Genomic DNA, 20418 nt, shown 5'->3' with positions numbered 1-20418 from the left:
CAGACCTGGGATGGCAGCCTAATTTGAGACCAACTTGTCTGCAGCCTGAAATGCAGACCTGGGATGGCAGCCTAATTTGAGACCAACTTGTCTGCAGCCTAATAATGCACTCTCGGGAACTTCTGTTCCTTCTTCTGCAAATGAGGGTAACAATGCGTTCTCAGCAGAATGCTTGCAATGCCAGAATGAAACAGCCCTGGAAAGAACCCTGTATGGCCTGACAGGTAGTGTGGCCACTGAACCAGACATGACTGAATTCTCCTCCTTCAGCTGTGACAGACTTTGAGTAAGGGAACAGAAACTTGGTAAACCCAGCTCTGCATATGGTTCTGAGAACAATGAGGTTGAGCTCAGAGTTGAAATAATGAATTAGCCACTTGGCCGAGGTGGCTTTGGGCAAGTCAGTCCCCATTGCTTTCCTCATTTGTGCCTCATGCAATTGTTGATAATCTCCATGCAGTGCCTAACACAGCACACATATGCAGTGCATGTTAGCTGGCCTTGGGATTGCCTTCCCACTTGGTGTTTATATATGCAGCACTAGTTACTGAATTCATTATTCTTTTCCGCTGGTTTTAAAGACACTTTTCCATTAAAGTCCCTTATTGCTTACAGGAATCTCTAAGGATAATTTTACATGATTTTTATATGTTATTGAACTTGCTCTGCTGAAGAACATAATTGAGAAACCAAGGGAGAGAAAAAAGAACAAAAGAGAGGAAGGAAGGAAGAAAATAAGGAAGGAGGGAAAGAAAGAGAAGGGAGAATAAACCTGCATAGAGCAAACTAAGAGCAATATTGTCTATGGGATTTTTCCCTCTTGGTGACAGCCGCCTCCAGAACATATCATGGAATAAGAGCAAGGCTTGTAACAGCCTGATGTGAATCTTACTGGAGCAGGGGGAGGCAGGGCTCCTTACAGGACTGTGAGTTCACAAGAAGGACACAGCATTTTATTCTTGAGCAACCTATATGCCACATAAGAAGAATTCCATAATAAAATAATCCGGGTGCATCAAAGACAATATCTGCCTTTTGGAGGCTCATGCTGTGCACTAACTTACTAAAAGTGTTAAGAATCCCATAGTGGAGAAACCTGTTCATGTTGTTTACCCCAAGCTTCCAATCTTAATGGACTCTATTTCTGTGAGATGTCTGTTCATACCTCGTGCTCTGAAGAATACAGACAGGAACGCCATGCCCTGGAGACAACCGTATTCTCTAATCCCAGGTGCCCCTCAAGCCCTTGGCACCTTTCTGTGGTTTGACTTAGGATCTAAAGGGAACACCTATTATACTCATCTCTTTCCTTTATGCCAGGTGTCCCCTGTCCCCAAACCACAGACCACTACCTATCCGTGGCCTGTTAGGAACCCAGCCTCACAGCAGGAGGTGAGTGGCAGGCCAGTGGCATTGCAGCCTGAGCTCCGCCCCCCATCAGATCAGCAGGTGGCATCAGATTCTCATGGGAATTCGAACACTATTGTGAACTGAGCATAGGAGGGATCTAGGTTGTGTGCTGTATATGAGAATCTAATGCCTGATGGAACAGTTTCATCCCGAAACCATCCATCTCCACCCCGTCACTGTCCATGGAAAAATGATCTTCCAAGAAACTGGTCCTTGGTGCCAAAAAGGTTGGGGAGCACTGCTTTATGCCTTTAGTAAAGAGATCATTGCTAGATATCTCTGCCAGTCTCCTTGATATCCAGATAAGTCATGCGGGCACCAGGGAAATGGAACTGGTGAGCCCTGGAGGATGAGAGGTGTGATCCTGCATCCTGCTTAAATTAGAGGTGCAGGCTCTCCTCAGGCGGCCTCTCGCCAATCTCCTCCAACAGCATTCTCTATCTGGCTCCTAGAACTACAGATTCAGATGCAGTTTAAAGTCTGAGGTGTCTGTGGCTCTTTCTTGAGCAGGAAAGTGAAAGACAAAGTGTATTAAAATTCAAAATTGGAAATCCTGGTAACCAGGAGACACGGTACCAGATGGACCTGTGTCTTTAAGTGACAGTGATCTGCCGTCTGCTGCGGGGCTCCCAGGTGGACGGGCTGCTTGCTATGTGCCCCAGCTGTCCTCGTCTGGGACGCAGACACCCTGCCTTCTTGTGCCTTTGGCTGCCATTTCAGCTCTCGTGAGCAGGTTGGCAGCTTGTCACACGCTGTCAGCCTCTGAGCCACCCACCCGCCCCCCGTCCTGCGGGTGCAGAGGACTCAGGCTCCTTTGGAGTCACTTGTGAGGCCGTGAGCTGAAGTGTTGGTGGCAGAATATGTGGCTTCTGCCTTGTGCCTGAACAGACAGTCAGCTGTGGGTTCTCGTGCCTCATTTACCCTTGGAGTTCCTCAAGGACAAACCACGCTTGGGACATAGCCGAATGGCATCTGATGGAGGGAACGGTCCTTCCTGGAGTCCTGCCTGAGTGCTAACTCCAACAGAACGCCTCTGCCCAGGGGCTTGGAGCCCACATCGCCAACAGGCAGTGTGCCTGCTGTGTGCTCGCACCCTCTCAGCCATGCAGAGTGGCATATTTATGGATGCATCCTGAGTCCTTCCAGGTTTTGTTTGACACCAACGCTCTGACACAGACTTGCAAGCATCCAGGCTGAGGAGGCTGTCTGATTGTGGTGCTGTTCATTATCATTAGATGTGAGGTTTACATGGGGAGGATGATTTGGTCATGGAGTGCTAGTCTCCAAATGCCTGTCTGAGAGATTTGCAAGGCACTGGGTCTTTTCAAGCCTGCTAGCAGCTGGAGTTCAGCTGCAGCTTTGCATGGCTTTTGAATGCTAATAACTGCAGCAGCCCAATTGTCACTGAGTCTTGTTGCTGAGAAATGCCATCATGAGGCAACTCCTAAGCTAAGAGATGATCTCAGATGAGAGTAACAAATACTCCAGACCCCTTTCCTTTCTGCTCTGTGGAACAAATGGACAAAAAGCCTTATATTTAGTGCTGATGGCTGTGAAGGATGTTCAAGGTCACACAAGACATTGCCTGGAGTTTTGCTGCAGAAGCACCAAAGGAGATGCATTGTAAAGTGACTGCATATCTAAGGTGGCCCCTATTTAATAGGGTGTCAGCTCATTGATTAATCTACGAAAATTGCACCAAGAAAATTAGGAGTAAGCATGGAAACAATAGGAAATTGTTCACTGTGTAGATGCACTTGTTAATTCTGAAGTTATTTGTTATTCATGGATCTCAACAATAGCTCCTGAACAAGCCGGCCCTCCTTTGGACACAGGGGACAGCAGCTTGGCATTTTAGGTTGCATCTTTTTGCTCATTTAGATCTAGGGGTCGTATCTGTCTCCAGGGGTGGGCTGAGAAGCAGACAGCAGCACTGAGCCCAGGAAGGGAGGCAGGACCCCTGCAGATGCTCCATCCTCCGCAGCCCTCACCTTAGGAGGATGGTGCTTACCACCCACACTCACTTCTATCGTCCCAGGTGCTCTGCCCGGCCACACTCTCCAGGCCCTTGTGCCACACTCACTCCTATCGTCTCAGGCGTCTCTGCCCAGACACATGCTCCTGGCCTTTGTGTGGTCTCCATGACAGAACAGTTATTTCATTGTAATGCCAACAAATCCATATACCTGTTTTCTTCATTTTTAAAAGAAAAAGATGCATTTATAACTAAGTCAAATTGCATAATATTAATATTTTGTAAACATTATTTGAAAAAATATAAAACTCTATCCTGATGTGCTTAGTTACTGTTACAGATTTATGTACTTCTGTGCAACTTGCATAATGGCCATTGGAATCAGCCTTGGGCACCACACAGTCCTTAGACAATGGTACTAATAATTCCCTTTGTTAAGATGGGAAAATGCACTCACAGTGTTCCAGATCGTCAGCATTGGCATGAGATCGGGGGGAACACTTCTGTTTCCTCACATTCTAAGCAGAAAGGATAGAAGTCCTCTGAACATTACATCATTTTTTTGAAACAATCATTTTATAAAATGCTTGCATGGGCATTTTCTGCCTGTTTGACCTTTTCTAAATTGCTTTCAGTTTTAAGCCAAATTAATTTATATAATTAACATATATTTGTCAAAACATTATATTAAACTCTATACATTTATAACAAAGTTTTTAATTTTTTTAAAAGTCTGCTGTAAGCCACCATTACAGGTATCTTTTTCTGGCAGTGTGTGTGTGTATATGTGTCTTTGTGTGTGTGTGTGTGTGTGTGTGTCTTGTGTGTGTGTATTTTTTTTCCAGTGGATACTGAAAGGTGTTCTTCCCTTCTTTCCCACACCATCTTCTACCCTTTTTACTTTAGAATGAGCTCTCCTTCCTAACTTTCCAATTTAAATCTGGCCTTGTGGACACCCTTTGTATCCCACCATGATATCATGGTGTGGCAAGTTTAGAAACACCAGGAAGGAAGACATGGAGACAGGACTATTTTTATGACACATCTTTTATCTGTAGTGCCACTTAGGTCTCTGTCTCAGACACAGGTTAGAGCGCTGGACGGCGTGTTCAGGAAGCGCTGGAGAAGATGCATTGCTGATTCCATTTCACAAATTCAGCGGCACTTCTATGCCCCAGACGGCCATGGAGGCATCTCCTTTGCTTTCTCCAGAATCTCCTCCCCACGGGCCATTTGCTCAGGTCGTACACAGACAATGAGGCCACACCTTCAGAGCCATGTGTATGCCAGTTCCATGAAGTCACCTGCCAGGAGCTTCCTAAGGCGTGGGCTCCTTCAATGGCCCTGAAAGACGTCTCACAGGTTCTTGCCCTTGTAAGAGATGTGTGTATGTTTTTGTGCATTCACGCACACACAAACACACATACTTTTCAACAAAGCAAATATTAAGATAGTCTTCATGATCAGAGATATTTTTACAAGTAAAATTACATTTTATATTCAGCCCATTTTATTTTTTTCCAGAGAAGATTTATAAGAATAATGATATAATTAAAGGTATAATTCACTGCAATATTCTTTGAGGTTTGCAGAGCAAGAGAAAGGTGGTGAGGTGTGGACGTTGTAAACGGGATTTTACATGATGAGAGCCGCAGAAAGATGCTGGCTAGCCTGTGAAAGTCTATTAAAAATAACATTTAAAGCACATTGTAAACGTTCTAGCTCCTTTAATCCTTTACAAACGATTCCATTACATGTAAGTGTATCTACCCAGGGCATGTCCGATGACCACATAGCTGGACTTTCATGGTTCACTGGAACCAGGGGCTGGAAGATGCAAAGGAGCTTTCCTTTGGATCCAGCACCTAAAGTGTCTGCCGTTTCCCACACTAGTCCATAAGGTTTTACTTTCCACTTCACTCACAGCTTAGAAAAACCATAGTATTAGAGATTCAGGGGCAGGGATTCTGCACAGACTATGGATTTGATTATACAAGGAACAATAAGTTACTGTGAACAATTCCATTTATGCCTAGTTTTCCAGCACACAATATGGAGGAATTTAACCTGTGAGCCATACAGATGGCCAAGCCCAGCAGGTGGAAACGTGAGATGAGGCCGCTGACTGGTGACCTCCATCAGCAGCTTCTCCCTCCTGAAGGTGGCCCAGGCGTGGGGGTGGCTGGGGAGCCATGACTGTGAGTGGCCTTAGTCCTGGGAAGCTGAGGGCAGAGCAGGAGGGAGGGGGACAAAACCTCCCCCACCCCCACCTGACGGCCTAACCTCCCAGGTGCAGGTGCAACCAACGCACATTGGTTTTTCTGTTTTTAGGATTTTGTAAACCATAACTTCAACTTTTATTTTAGATTTTAGGGGGTACATGTGCAGGCTTTTTAGCTGGGTGTATTGTATGATGCTGAGGTTTGGGGTACGGTTGATCCAGGTACTGAGCATAGGACCCAATAGTTTTCAACCCTTGCGCCCCTCCCTCCCTCCCCCTCTAATAGTCCCCAGCGTCTATTGCTCCCATCTTTATGCCGACGAGTATCCGGTGTTTCATTCCCACTTATAAGTGAGAACACATGGCATTTGGTTTTCTGTTCCTGTGTTAGTTCACTTAGGATAATGGCCTCCAGCTGCATCCATGTTGCTGCAAAGGACACGATTTCGTTCTTTTGATGGCTGCATAGTATTCCATGTCAACATGCATTTTAAATCAGACCAAGTTTGTGTAGAGTAAGCTCCTCTTTTCTTTAGCTGTGCCCATCCCCTGGGTACAAATGCCACCCCATGTCTCAGCCTTCTGTCCCCTCTAACACCTGGGCCTCCCAAATGACCCACCTCTGCCCCTCACATCATTCTTAGCACCTAACACAGACATCAGGAGAAGAATAATCTCTTAAACAAAGGCTCAGTGGTACGTGAGTAAGTGAGGCTCCTACCCCCTGAGAGGACTTGAGAGTCTAAGATAAACGTTGGCTTCCAAGGGAATCCCTGACCAATAGAATTGCAGGAAGTGTGGCCATGTGGGGTGAAGGCAGGCTGTGCACATAGAGTGACCGACCACCTCGGCCCCAGGCACAGCCTCCTCCGTCAGTTCCTGTTTTTCTAGGGCATTCCTCTCTTTGTTTTTAAACTTCAGAATCTACAACTTTTTTTTTTTTTTTTTTTTGAGACGGAGTCTCGCTCTGTCGCCCAGGCTGGAATGCAGTGGCACAATCTCGGCTCACTGCAAGCTCTGCACCCCAAGTTCACGCCATTCTCCTGCCTCAGCCTCCCGAGTAGCTGGGACTACAGGCGCCTGCCACTGCGCCCGGCTAATTTTTTGTATTTTTAGTAGGGACGGGGTTTCACCATGTTAGCCAGGATGGTCTCAATCTCCTGACCTCATGATCTGCCCGCCTCGGCCTCCCAAAGTGCTGGGATTACAGGCTCGAGCCACCGCGCCCAGCCTACAACTTTTTAAAAAAGTTATGGCCGGGCATGGTGGCTCACACCTGTAAGCCTAGCAATTTGGGAGGCCGAGGCAGGCAGATCACCTGAGGTCAGGAGTTTGAGACCACCCTGGCCAACATGGCAAGATCCTGTCTCTACTAAAAATCCAAACATTAGCCAGGCATGGTGGTGCGTGCCTGTAATCCCAGCTACTTGGGAGTCTGAGGCAGGAGAATCACTTGAACCCAGGAGGCAGAGGTTGCAGTGAGCCGAGATCATGCCATTGCACTCCAGCCTGGGCAACAGAGCAAGACTCCTTCTCAAAAAAAACAAAAATAGTTATCAGAGTTTGGGTTTGCTTGTCTATATACATCAGCTCACAAGGCAGTGGGAACAGAATCTCTAACCCTTTGTTAATGTTCACTGCACACAAATGTACCTCTGAACGGTTACTGTGCATGGATGTGGAGCTCCCTCTCCAGATGGGAACATGTACAACACAGCCCAGGGAGTTGACGCTTCACGCCTGGTGAGTTGGTCTTATGCAGAGATCCTGGTGGTATTCGCATAACAACAAACTCACAAACTCAGTCACCACTGTTTGAGCAAAAGTTCTATTAAAATATCTGTAAAGTTGATAAGATGCATAGGACATGTGGGATATTGAAATAATGAGAAAATTAATGTAAAGGATGGTAGGAGGAAGAATGCTATGACAATTCGCGGCACTGTCTTCTAAACATCCACTGCGTCCTTAAGCGTTTGGAAAGGTCACTTCTCTGGTCCTTGAGAGTAGATGATTGCAACTCGTAACACAAGATGTTTGCTGAGTCTAGGAAAGGATTCACGTGCATCCTGAACAAGGCTCAAACAGGCGAGAAAGGGGGACAACAGCCGTGTAATTTTGTGTCATATGAGAGAAAGCATGAACTTGATATGAATTTGATCTTTCAAGAAAAGGTAGACAGAAGTAATTATTTTTAAAGGAAAGCTGATATTTTCTTATATTGACTAAAAAGAAAACATTAAGCTTTCCCGTGTGGGAGAAGGAGAATCTCAAAATAACAGATGAGGACGTGCTTGGGTTTTTAATTATCATTTTTTAAATTTCCAAAATTCATTGACTGAGTCGGTCTCCCTACATAGAAGTTTCTCAATGTTTAAAGTTTCTCTGCAACCTTCAAAGGAGGCTCCTGGACTAAGGTTTTACTCCAGCTCTCTGGCGTTTGGCTGAGTCTTGTTCTTCGTTCTAGCACCCAACTTTCTCTACAGCTTATTCATCTGTCCTGGCCCCATGACGTAGGGTTACTTGTAAAATCCAAACACATCCTCAAAGAGTGAGCACTCTTGATATGCCAGAAACTATTATTGGCCCTCGCAGACTTTTCCAAAATACATTTTAAGTGGACTGTCTCTTCTCCTGATACGAGAGGTTTAATTAGTGCACCTCTTCTGATGGGAAGCTTAGCTCTGTCTATCAACAGTAGGAAAAAGAGTGCTCGAGCAGAACTCAGGCCCAGAAATCTGACTTCTGAAACTGAAATTCATTATCTCACGGGATAATGCAATACATAGATAGAGATGGGAAAAGGGAATGTGTTCTCTGTATTGGTTTAAACAGGTGGGTAGGGCATCCTAAAAGTCTTATGAAATGTGTTACAGCCACGGGAACTCCTAAGCAGCCTTGAAATGGTAATATAAATTTAAATTTATTGACATAAAAATCCATATGTTTATTAGTGGAAAGGCAGATTATAAAGGGTTTACCTGTGGGATCCCATTTACACACAACCATGTATTTTTATGATTATGCATGCCTGTGTGTACGTTAATTATACAGAAGGAATGAATAAAAAGATATCAATTTAATAAAAACAAACAGTAGTTATCTCTTTGTGGATGAAATGTTCACTGATTTTCATACCATCCATACACTTCTCCATGGGATTTGAATATCTTACAAGAGCATGCATAATGTTTACAATGAAAACAAGCGGTATTGGAATTAATATGCAGATTTCTGAGACATTTTTAAAGACAGTGAAATTTCTATGATTATATAGTTTTGGGTTAATTTAAAAAAAAGTATTTGATAATTTCAATATGCAATTGCCTAATTCCGAACAATCAAAAAATTATATTTGAAGACATTGATCCAGGCCAGGCGCAGTGGCTCATGCCTATAATCCCAACACTTTGGGAGGCTGAGGCAAGTGGATCACCTGAGGTCAGGAATTTGAGACCAAACTGGCCAATATAGTGAAACCCCATCTCTATTAAAAATACAAAAATTAGGCCGGGCGTGGTGTCTCACGCCTGTAATCCCAGCACTTTGAGAGGCCGAGGCGGCGGATCATGAGGTCAGGAGATCAAGACCATCCTGGCTAACATGGTGAAACCCCGTCTCTACTAAAAATACAAAAAATTAGCCAGGCGTGGTGGCGGGCACCTGTAGTCCCAGCTACTTGGGAGGCCAAGGCATGAGAATCCCTTGAACCAGGGAGGCGGAGGTTGTAGTGATCCAGGATCGTGCCACTGCACTCCAGCCTGGGCAACAGAGTGATACTCTGTCTCAAAAAAAAAAAAAAAAAAAAGAAAAAGAAAGAAAAAAAATAAAGACATTGATCCATTATCTTGCAAAAAGAGCAAATTTCTACAAAACAGAATAAGTGCACTGTTAAACAGCTTTTTTAACAAAAACAATTGGAATAAATTGCCTTTCAAAACATTCTTATTGGTTCCTGACTTTTAATGTGTAAAAAATTTTAAATTTGCTATGGCACATTTTAAAAAACATTTTATTTAATCTAAGTTGAGATGATTTTACATTTAACAGTAATGCTCATCAATGTATGTCAACAACTTTCTTGTTTTGAAAGGCTTTATAGGACTCTCTTAAATTAGGAATTTCAATCTGCCGATATACATGTGTTATGGCAGATGATTAAATACAAGAAAGAAATAAGCAACATATTTTATTTCTGCTGTGAGAAATCTCTTTCTAATTTAGTTTATGTGATATATCATGTTGTGCTTTATAATTTTTAATACATGATGCAAAAGTTTTGACCGATCCTTGCTCCCCAATCTGAAATGCCATTCTTAAGAATAGAACAAACAAGAATAAACCAACATACCTGAGGAAATGAAAACACATTTTTATTTTTCAAGAATGTGAGTAACTTTAATAAAGAAAATATTTTTCTCAAAATTATAGTTTTGTTTGCTACAACCATGGAAGAGTAAGCAGCACTTGCCAATGATTCTGTTCTACTCAGTCTTCAGCCATAACATGAGGAACAGAACTGCCTCTTGTGCAGTGCGGACGTCTCCCGGTGCCTGGACATGCACTTTTTTATATTTATTTATTTATTTATTTTATTTTTTTGAGATGGAGTGTCGCTCTGTCACCCAGGCTGGAGTGCAATGGTGCAATCTCGGCTTACTGCAACCTTCGCCTCCCGAGTTCAAGTGATTCTCCTGCCTCAGCCTCCCGAGTAGCTGGGATTATAGGCACGCACCACCACGCCCAGCTAATTTTTGTATATATATACATATATTTTTTTTTTAGTAGAAACAGGGTTTCATCATGTTGGCCAGGCTAGTCTTGAACTCCTGACCTCAGGTGATCCACCCACCTCGGCCTCCCAAAGTGCCAGGATTGCAGGTGTGAGCCACCACGCCTGGCCTGGACATGCACATTCATTTGTAACTCACCTGCATTCTTCACTCTGGCAGCTACAGTTTAAATAAAGAAGATGAAATTTCATGGCTGAATTTAGGTTTCTGGAGACCACGTCTCCCCTTCTAGTAGATGGCATTCCAGCAGTCAGGGGACGTGTATGGGAGGAGGAGACGCCATGCACTTGTTCCATATGCTCTGTTGCAGGAAGTCCTCTTAGATTCACGCCTCTTGGTAGACCAGATGCTGGTCTCGGTGTCCTCATCCTATTCTGGCACCTAATACAGGGTCCTATAATTATCTCCCTGCTAGAATCCAAGCTCCTTCATAAGAAGGAACGTGATTGTTTTGCATGTGCCGTTGGTAGTGCAGTTCCTAGAAGACAGAATGGCATGGCAAGTGGCCTGCCCAGCTAGCACAGTGTGCCTTTACTGCGGCCCAGGCGGGAAACCACACCAGGCTTTCGGAGGCAGTCCTTATTTCTTTTTTTTTTTTTTTTAATTATACTTTAAGTTTTAGGGTACATGTGCACAATGTGCAGGTTAATTACATATGTATACATGTGCCATGCTGGTGCGCTGCACCCACTAACTCGTCATCTAGCATTAGGTATATCTCCCAATGCTATCCCTCCCCCCTCCCCCCACCCCACAACAGTCCCCAGAGTGTGATGTTCCCCTTCCTGTGTCCATGTGTTCTCATTGTTCAATTCCCACCTATGAGTGAGAATATGCGGTGTTTGGTTTTTTGTTCTTGCGATAGTTTACTGAGAATGATGATTTCCAATTTCATCCATGTCCCTACAAAGGACATGAACTCATCATTTTTTGTGGCTGCATAGTATTCCATGGTGTATATGTGCCACATTTTCTTAATCCAGTCTATCATTGTTGGACATTTGGGTTGGTTCCAAGTCTTTGCTATTGTGAATAGTGCCGCAATAAACATACGTGTGCATGTGTCTTTATAGCAGCATGATTTATAGTCCTTTGGGTATATACCCAGTAATGGGATGGCTGGGTCAAATGGTATTTCTAGTTCTAGATCCCTGAGGAATCGCCACACTGACTTCCACAATGGTTGAACTAGTTTCCAGTCCCACCAACAGTGTAAAAGTGTTCCTATTTCTCCACATCCTCTCCAGCACCTGTTGTTTCCTGACTTTTTAATGATTGCCATTCTAACTGGTGTGAGATGATATCTATCTCATTGTGGTTTTGATTTGCATTTCTCTGATGGACAGTGATGGTGAGCATTTTTTCATGTGTTTTTTGGCTGCATAAATGTCTTATTTTGCGAAGTGTCTGTTCATGTCCTTTGCCCACTTTTTGATGGGGTTGTTTGTTTTTTTCTTGTAAATTTGTTTGAGTTCATTGTAGATTCTGGATATTAGCCCTTTGTCAGATGAGTAGGTTGCAAAAATTTTCTCCCATTTTGTGGGTTGCCTGTTTACTCTGATGGTAGTTTCTTTTGCTGTGCAGAAGCTCTTTAGTTTAATTAGATCCCATTTGTCAATTGTGGCTTTTGTTACCATTGCTTTTGGTGTTTCAGACATGAAGTCCTTGCGGTGCCTATGTTCTGAATGGTAGTGCCTAGGTTTTCTTCTAGAGTTTTTATGGTTTTAGGTCTAATGTTTAAGTCTTTAATCCATCTTGAATTGATTTTTGTATAAGGTGTAAGGAAGCGATCCAGTTTCAGCTTTCTACATATGGCTAGCCAGTTTTCTCAGCACCATTTATTAAATAGGGAATCCTTTCCCCATTGCTTGTTTTTCGCAGGTTTGTCAAAGATCAGATAGTTGTAGATATGTGGCATTATTTCTGAGGGCTCTGTTCTGTTCCATTGATCTATATCTCTGTTTTGGTACCAGTACCATGCTGTTTTGGTGACTGTAGCCTTGTAGTATAGTTTGAAGTCAGGTAGCGTGATGCTTTCAGCTTTGTTCTTTTGGCTTAGGATTGACTTGGTGATGCAGGCTCTTTTTTGGTTCCATATGAACTTTAAAGTAGTTTTTTCCAATTCTGTGAAGAAAGTCATTGGTAGCTTGATGAGGATGGCATTGAATCTATAAATTACCTTGGGCAGTATGGCCATTTTCACGATATTGATTCTTCCCACCCATGAGCATGGAATGTTCTTCCATTTGTTTGTATCCTCTTCTATTTCATTGAGCAGTGGTTTGTAGTTCTCCTTGAAGAGGTCCTTCACGTCCCTTGTAAGGTGGATTCCTAGGTATTTTATTCTCTTTGAAGCAATTGTGAATGGGAGTTCACTCATGATTTGGCTCTCTGTTTGTCTGTTATTGGTGTATAAGAATGCTTGTGATTTTTGCACATTGATTTTGTATCCTGAGACTTTGCTGAAGTTTCTTATCAGCTTAAGGAGATTTTGGGCTGAGACGATGGGGTTTTCTAGATATACAATCATGTCATCTGCAAACAAGGACAATTTGACTTCCTCTTTTCCTGATTGAATACCCTTTATTTCCTTTTCCTGCCTAATTGCCCTGGCCAGAACTTCCAACACTATGTTGAATAGGAGTGGTGAGAGAGGGCATCCCTGTCTTGTGCCAGTTTTCAAAGGGAATGCTTCCAGTTTATGCCAATTCAGTATAAACAAGCCTCACGAGGATGTGTGATAGATTACTGATTTCTTTGAAGACAAGAAAGAAAATCTAAACAGTAAGAATAATATGGATTTACTAAAATTGAAGATTTCATGATTAAAAATTAATAGAGAAAGAACATACATTGATTTTTAAACCATCAAAGAAATTGAGCTCTGCTAACAGGCTGGGACGTGTCCATGATTGACTTGCTCCCTCCTCTTGAGGGCGAGGGAAGGGAGAGAAATAATCTCTCATATCTACATCTCTCAGAAACTGTTACCCAGAGCTGAGAAATGTGTTTGCTTGTCAAGAAGATTCTCAGCCTTGGTTTGAAGAATTTAACAGTTTCCTGGATATCAGACCTGATCTTGTCGGTGAGGAGCGGAAGAATTTAAATTCCTCGCTCCTTGGTAACATATTAACTCTTTCAAACCACAAAGGCATCTGTATGCTGGAATATGCAGTTTCTGAAAGGACTGCTAAGGGACAGAAAGAACAAATTGGCTGCTCTGAGATGAACCATTTTCTCTCCTTTGCTCATTATTCTGTTTCCCAGCAGAGTCACAGACTGGAGGAACATAAAAAGTGAGAGCTAGGGTGTTTGGTTTTCTGTTCCTGTGTTAGTTTGCTGAGAATGATGGTTCCCAGCTTCATCCATGTCCTTGCAAAGGACATGAACTCATTCTCTTTTATGGCTGCATAGTATTCCATGGTGTATATGTACCACATTTTCTTTATCCAGTCTATCACTGATGAACATTTGGGTTGGTTTCAAGTCTTTGATATTGTAAATAGTGCTGCAGTAAACATATGTGTGCATGTGTCTTTATAGTAGAACGTTTTCTTAAGAGACCCGAGAGAGGACCAGGGTTAAAGGCCAAGCCCGGCAGGCCCAGGTCCACAGAGTGGGAGGACAGACTGAAAGACAGCGCATTCCTCTTTTTCTGGCCATCTTAGCACATTCTCTGGCCCTTTGGTCACTCATTGATGATGGCATGCTGTCACCACCACATGGCATGATTATGGCTTTTTCCATAGAGTACAAGACCCAGCCTCCTTTTCCACTGATTTCTCTCTTCATCCGTCCACTCTGCCTTTCTTCCTCTCTTTTGTTCATTCGTTCATGTATACATTTCTATATTCTATCAACAAACATACTTCAGAACATGTGTCATACTTTGGGACAGAATGGTCAATGAGACAGGAAATTTCTTGCCCTGCTCAGGTAAGAAATTAGTAGCTTACACAGTGTATTAGCCTGTTCTCATGCTGCTAATAAAGACATACCTGAGACTAAGTAATTTATAAAGGAAAGAGGTTTAATGGACTCACAGTTCCACATGGCTGGGAGGCCTCACAATCATGGTGGAAGGCAAAGGAAGAGCAAAGTCATGTCTTACATGGCAGCAGGAAAGAGAGAGAGTGTGCAGGGAAAATCCCCTTTATAAAACCATCAGGTCTCCTGAGACTTATTCACTATCATGAGAACAGCACAAGGAAGACCCACCTCCATGATTCAATTACCCTCCACCAGGCCCCTCCCATGACACGTGGGAATTATGAGAACTACAATTCAAGATGAGATTTGGGTGGGGACACAGCCAAACCATATCACACAGATAGCTTGATTATTAATTAGAATAAACTCAGAAATTCTGCACCAGTGAGGGAGCAGGGAGCTGGAAAGGTGCAGAGAAGGGAACTGAATTTGGTGGAGTGGATTAGATAGAAATAGCCAGGACCAAAGGCAGCCAGAATGGAATGTGGGGAGACTTGAAAGCAAGAAGGCAGATGGTACCTTTGAAGAGGTGCAAGAGTTTCACCTGGGTAGGCAGCTACCTGTGATGAAGAGAAAGTGAGATAGGAGGTGGGTGGTGCCCTCCTTTGCAATACATGTTAAGGAGTTTGGACTGTTAGCCACAGACGAGGAAAGAGATACATCTTAGTTCCTTTGGGTTATAACAAAATACCACAAACTGGGTAGCTTAAAAAACAACGTTCATTTCTGGACTCTGGAAGTCCAGGATCAAAGTGCTGGCAAATCTGTTGTCTGTCTGGTAAGCGCCCATTTCCTGGCTTGCAGACAGTCACTTCCTCACTGTGTCCTCATGTGGTAGAGAGAGAGCTCTGGTCTCTCTTTCTCTTCTTACCAGGGCACTAATTCCATCTAAAGGCTCCATCTTCATGACCTCATCATCCAATGCCTCTCCTCCAAGAGCCATCACACTGTGGTTAGGGCATCAACATAAATGAATTTGGGGAGGACACAGACATTCTGTTAATAGCAGCATGTATGATTTTCAGCAAGGGACATACATAGTCACATTTGTTTTCTAATAATAATGATCCAGCTTCTATCTGTAAAAGTGGATTTCAGGGAGCCAGACTGGAGGAATAAGATCTCTTAGGAGATTTACAATAGTAGGAACAAAGTTTGGAGGCATCTTCGTGGCATGGTAGCAATGAGGATAGAGAAGCCATCTGGTGGTAGGGAGATGTAAGAAACAATGAACCTGATGTGGAAGCCAGGAGGGAGGTGAGACTCCCAGGGGTGCCAGCATGAGAGCTGAAGCCATGGACACACAATGTACTGGGCTGGGTGCACTCGAGGGCAAATGGATTTTCGGGGAGAGATAGTGAGTTTAGTTTTGGAAACGTTGAATTGTGTTTGATCACCACACCACCATCAGGAGACTTTCAGCTGTTTGGAACAAGGGACTAGAAGAGGTGAAAATGGCTGGGGGATCAAGTGGCAGTTTCTAAAGAGAATCAACATTCTCTTCCACCATACGTAGATGAACACTGTGCTGTTAAGTTTAAAGAAATTATTCCCGTGTCCTTTTTTTTCTCTTAAAGCATCTGCTTTATTTGTACAATTAGGGCATGTGGTGTGTCCCTAAGCACCCGGGCATAGTGGAGAGTCAGGAAAAGTAGCCTGGGGAAGGAGGGCACATGACCTCACTGCAAACATTTCCCTTTCATGTGAGGGTGGGTACCACCTTTAGACGGGGACATGTTGGCCACTGAATCAGATCAGCACCAAGGGACCATTCAGAAAGCAGCAAGTGTGTTGTGATTTGGAGACAAACTGGAAAAAAAATTAATCAGCTATTTATCCCCTTTTAAAATTAAGCATGTTAAAGATAAGAATAAAAATATTTTGCCTTCATATCAGCTTCCCAAGAAAAGGTGTGCTATGCTGTTTTGTGTTTTTATGCTTTTGAGTTTACACTGGGTGAGTATGAGGAAATTAACTGCTGTGGGATTAATCTCCACAAATAGCAGTAACTTAAAAATAACAACATAAGAGATTAGCATGCTTGAGAAGCATGAGGGGGAGTGACTTTGATTGTTTTCACTGAATTTACTGTCCTTTCTTGCTAAGTTCACTGTTTTGTGATGTGCCTTGTTCCGTGTGTCCCTAATTTGCAAATGTTGGGAGAAGTTGCGCTTGATTGACACTAACTGTATGTAGGAGGAGCAGTCTCTTGGTTTTTGTGCCTGTATAGATCATCGCTTTACACTGCCGTCCTGTGATCTTCCTAAACTTTTAAAAGTATATTTGGAGATAAGCACAAGGTGGGTAATGCTGGCATGCGAGCCTTTGCCCTAAACATTCAAAAAGCGCCGTCTCTTAACGTGTGTCTTCGTCCCCCCCAAAGAAGACGGTGTGTACAGGAGGAACATAAGGAGAGAAGCATACCTCTCCTCCTTGTTATGACATCTTTCAAAACTTAGCAATTGTCAGTGAATATGAAAAGAGACAACTCCAGCAAAGAAGAGGGGCTGGAGTTTTTAAGGACAGGACAGGGGACTGCTTTTAAGGCTGACTTACCAAGACACCCAATAAATTTCCAACAGGCCACCGTGAGCATTTCTGATTCCATAGATGCCTTGAAAGGACTTAATTTTTTAGTTCATATATTTCTGTAGACTTAGTCTATTCATATCACATAGATTCTTTCTCTCTCTTTGTCTCTCTCTGTCTTTCTTAAATTTTACTTTTAAGTTCTGGGATACTTGTGCAGAACATGCAGGTTTGTTACATAGGTATATATGTGCCATGGTGGTTTGCTGCACTTACCAACCCATCATCTAGGTTTTAAGCCCCGCATGCATTGGATATTTGTTCTAACGCTCTCCCTCCCCTTGCCCCCACCCCCCGACAGGCCCCAGTGTGTGATGTTCCCCTCTCTGTGTCCATGTGTTCTCATTGTTCAACTCCCACTTATGAGTGAGAACATGTGGTGTTTGGTTTTCTGTTCCTGTGTTAGTTTGCTGTGATGGTTTCCAGCTTCATCCATATCCCTGCAAAGGACATGAACTCATTCTCTTTTATGGCTGCATAGTATTCCATAGTCTATATGTACCACATTTTCTTTATCCAGTCTATCACTGATGAACATCCAGGTTGGTTCCAAGTCTTTGATATTGTAAATAGTGCTGCAATAAACGTATGTGTGCATGTGTCTTTATAGTAGAACGATTTCTTAAGAGACCCTCAAGCTCTGCCCAAAATGATGAACTCTCGGCTGGGCGCAGTGGCTCATGCCTGTAATCCCAGCACTTTGGGAGGTCAAGGTGGGCAGATCATGAGATCAGGAGATCGAGACCATCCTGGCCAATGTGGTGAAACCCCCATCTCTACTAGAAATACAAAAATTAGCTGGGCGTGGTGGCACCTGCTGTAATCCCAGCTACTCCGGAGGCTGAGGTGGGAGAATCACTTGAACCAGCGAGTTGGAGGTTGCAGTGAGCCAAGATCGCACCACTGCACTTCAGCCTGGCAACAGAGTGAGACTCCATCTCAAAAAAAAAAAAAAAAAAAAAAGGATGAACTCTCTTGCATGTCCCCTTCCAGAATTAGAGACCATGTACCTCCTGCAGAGAACGTGGTGTCTGAGAGAGTAGTCTCTGTGCAGCACAGAGTGAGGTTACATGACCGAGTTCTCACTTGGGAAAACCGAGTTCCCACTTGGGAAGAGCTGTCAGAAGCACCAAAACCTCACGGTTACGTCTCACAATCACTGCTCTTGCAAGTCCTCCCCAGTGGCCCGTTTTCCATGGGACAGCTTGTCATGAATATATTGTGTCCATGGCCCCACCTCACCCCCACATTACAGGCTAAAGTCTGCTATTAGCCAAGCTACTAACCTCTCATTTAGTTACTAATGTGCTTTGTCATCTCTGTAACCATATGTCCAAAGGCTAATGGTGGGCATCACATTTATCAATCTAATCAGTAAGTAAATAAACTCTCCATGCAGCCCCTTTCACCAATAAAATGACATTTTAAAATTGCAAAAGCAATTTTAAAAAGAGAAGGTGACATCTGCACTGGAAATTATGAATATGCTTGTGTTGCCTTTTTCTAAACTAGGAGCCACAAGCATAATTTTGCCATAACTGTTGTATCATAGGCTGTTTGATTTATGCGCATCTGTGCACTAAGTGGTGTTTCCTCCAAGTCCCCTAAGTAATGTGCATCCTAATGTGGATGGATTGACCCCTTCCTGTCTTTTCCTCCGAGCTGCACGAGGTGAGCTCTGTGTACCTGGTGGGCTCCTTGCTTTGGTTACTACAGCTTTTTATACTTAGGGAAAGGAGAACCAGAGTAGCTTTCCCCAGGGACAGCTGCTGCTGTTGAAGACCATCCCGTCTCTACTTCCATAAGGTATCGCAACACAGATTTCCCTCTCTTTCAGCTTTAAAAACTATTTAGGGGTCATGCATTTTTCCTTTAAATATTGACTGCTCCTTTTTAGAATTGTTAATGTGGAAATTTCTAACTGGATTTATAAACACACTCATGAAAGGAGCTTTAAAGATTTTTTTCTTGCCTGGGTTTCTTGTTGAAATTTCAAGAATAAAATTGTTTATGACAAATAAAATTGTCATAAACTAAGCAAACAAGAGCACACAAAGAAAAAAGCTAATATTATTCCCCTCATTTTATCCAAAGGTTCATGTTCACTTGTATCCACTCACAAAAGCATCTATGTTGACACAAAGCATTTCCTTCCTGCGAATTCCGTGGTTGTACTATGAAGTTCTCATCATCAACCTGTTCTTACTCCATTATGTATACAGACGCCTCTCTGGGTCAAAATGACCTGCCCTATCTCACTTTTTTTAAAATAGCAGCAGAGTATCCCATGGTGCATTTTAGCCTGAATTGACTCCACCATTCCTCTGCCATCAACATGAATGTGGGTTCCCAGGCTTTTCCACTCGAGACCACTGCTGCAGACGTGTTTGTGCACACACACCTGGACACCTGCGCCTTTATTTCTGTAGGAGGGATGCCTGTGTATTGGATCATTGGATCCAGGGGAATACCATTCAGAGTTTTCATCAGTAATGCCAGATTTCTGCAGACAATGTTATAGCAATTGGTTATGTTACCACCAGCGGTGGATGTGATCAATCTTTGGAGTTTTGGCCAGTGTTCTCGGTGGAACTCTTCTGTTATATTAATATGCATTTTTCCAGCTGCTAAGGAGGCTGGGCATTACCTCAGCTCCTCGTGCTGCTACCTCTGTGACTTGCCGTCCCTATTCGGAACCCCTTTTATACTGAGTTGTCTTTCTCTTTTCAAATTTAAGGCTATCTTAATATTTGGGGGATATAGATTATTTTTCTGTCCTATAATGCAAATGTTTTCTCTCAATCTACCATTAGATTGCTGATAATATTTATGAATACCTATGGTGCCTTTTCCCACGTAGAAAATTAAAATTTATGTAGTCAAATCTGGTCAGTTCTGTGGCCTGTTTCTTATGTTCCTTAAGTTTACAATTCTTTAAAGAAGTTAATTTTTTTTTTTTTTTTGAGATGGAGTCTCGCTCTGTCGCCCAGGCAGGAGTACAGTGGCCCAATCTCGGCTCACTGCAAGCTCCGCCTCCCGGGTTCACGCCATTCTCCTGCCTCAGCCTCCCGAGTAGCTGGGACTACAGGCGCCCGCCACCACACCTGGCTAATTTTTTGTATTTTTAGTAGAGATGGGGTTTCACCGTGTTAGCCAGGATGGTCTCGATCTCCTGACCTTGTGATCCGCCCACCTCAGTCTCCCAAAGTGCTGGGATTACAGGCGTGAGCCACCGCGCCCGGCCTAAATAAGTTAATTCTTGACTCAATATGCAATTGGTGTTTGTGGCTGCGGTCACTTGTCCAGCTGGCTGTGTTCTCTCCTGTGTGGGCTCCAGCCTGACAGGCACTCTGGGGGGACAGCTGCCTTCCACTCTAGGGCAGTGCCTTCTTTATCACACACTTTCTGCCATTTGGAACTTTTTCTAAGCTCTTCATTCT

The 20418-nt window shown here is 43.4% G+C and overlaps 1 protein-coding gene across 32 annotated transcripts in view, besides 2 other annotated features; it reads left to right on the top strand.

The window, feature by feature from the left end:
- The window catches only part of MYT1L (myelin transcription factor 1 like), a 542163-nt gene that overhangs the window by 181429 nt on the left and 340316 nt on the right, over positions 1 to 20418 (top strand). The gene's annotated exons all lie outside the window — the stretch shown is intronic.
- Positions 2250 to 2772: an enhancer, noted in NCBI's record as "NANOG-H3K4me1 hESC enhancer chr2:2150847-2151369 (GRCh37/hg19 assembly coordinates)". NCBI's record gives its function as "activates a minimal SCP1, AML or CMV promoter by ChIP-STARR-seq in naive H9 embryonic stem cells {active_cell/tissue: H9 hESC(naive)}" and the evidence as "EXISTENCE:reporter gene assay evidence [ECO:0000049][PMID:30033119]".
- Positions 3295 to 3818: an enhancer, noted in NCBI's record as "H3K4me1 hESC enhancer chr2:2149801-2150324 (GRCh37/hg19 assembly coordinates)". NCBI's record gives its function as "activates a minimal SCP1, AML or CMV promoter by ChIP-STARR-seq in naive H9 embryonic stem cells {active_cell/tissue: H9 hESC(naive)}" and the evidence as "EXISTENCE:reporter gene assay evidence [ECO:0000049][PMID:30033119]".

This window comes from Homo sapiens, chromosome 2 (assembly GCF_000001405.40).
Source record: "Homo sapiens chromosome 2, GRCh38.p14 Primary Assembly".
NCBI classification, from domain to species: domain Eukaryota; kingdom Metazoa; phylum Chordata; class Mammalia; order Primates; family Hominidae; genus Homo; species Homo sapiens.
This window is presented reverse-complemented; position numbering and strand designations above follow the sequence as displayed.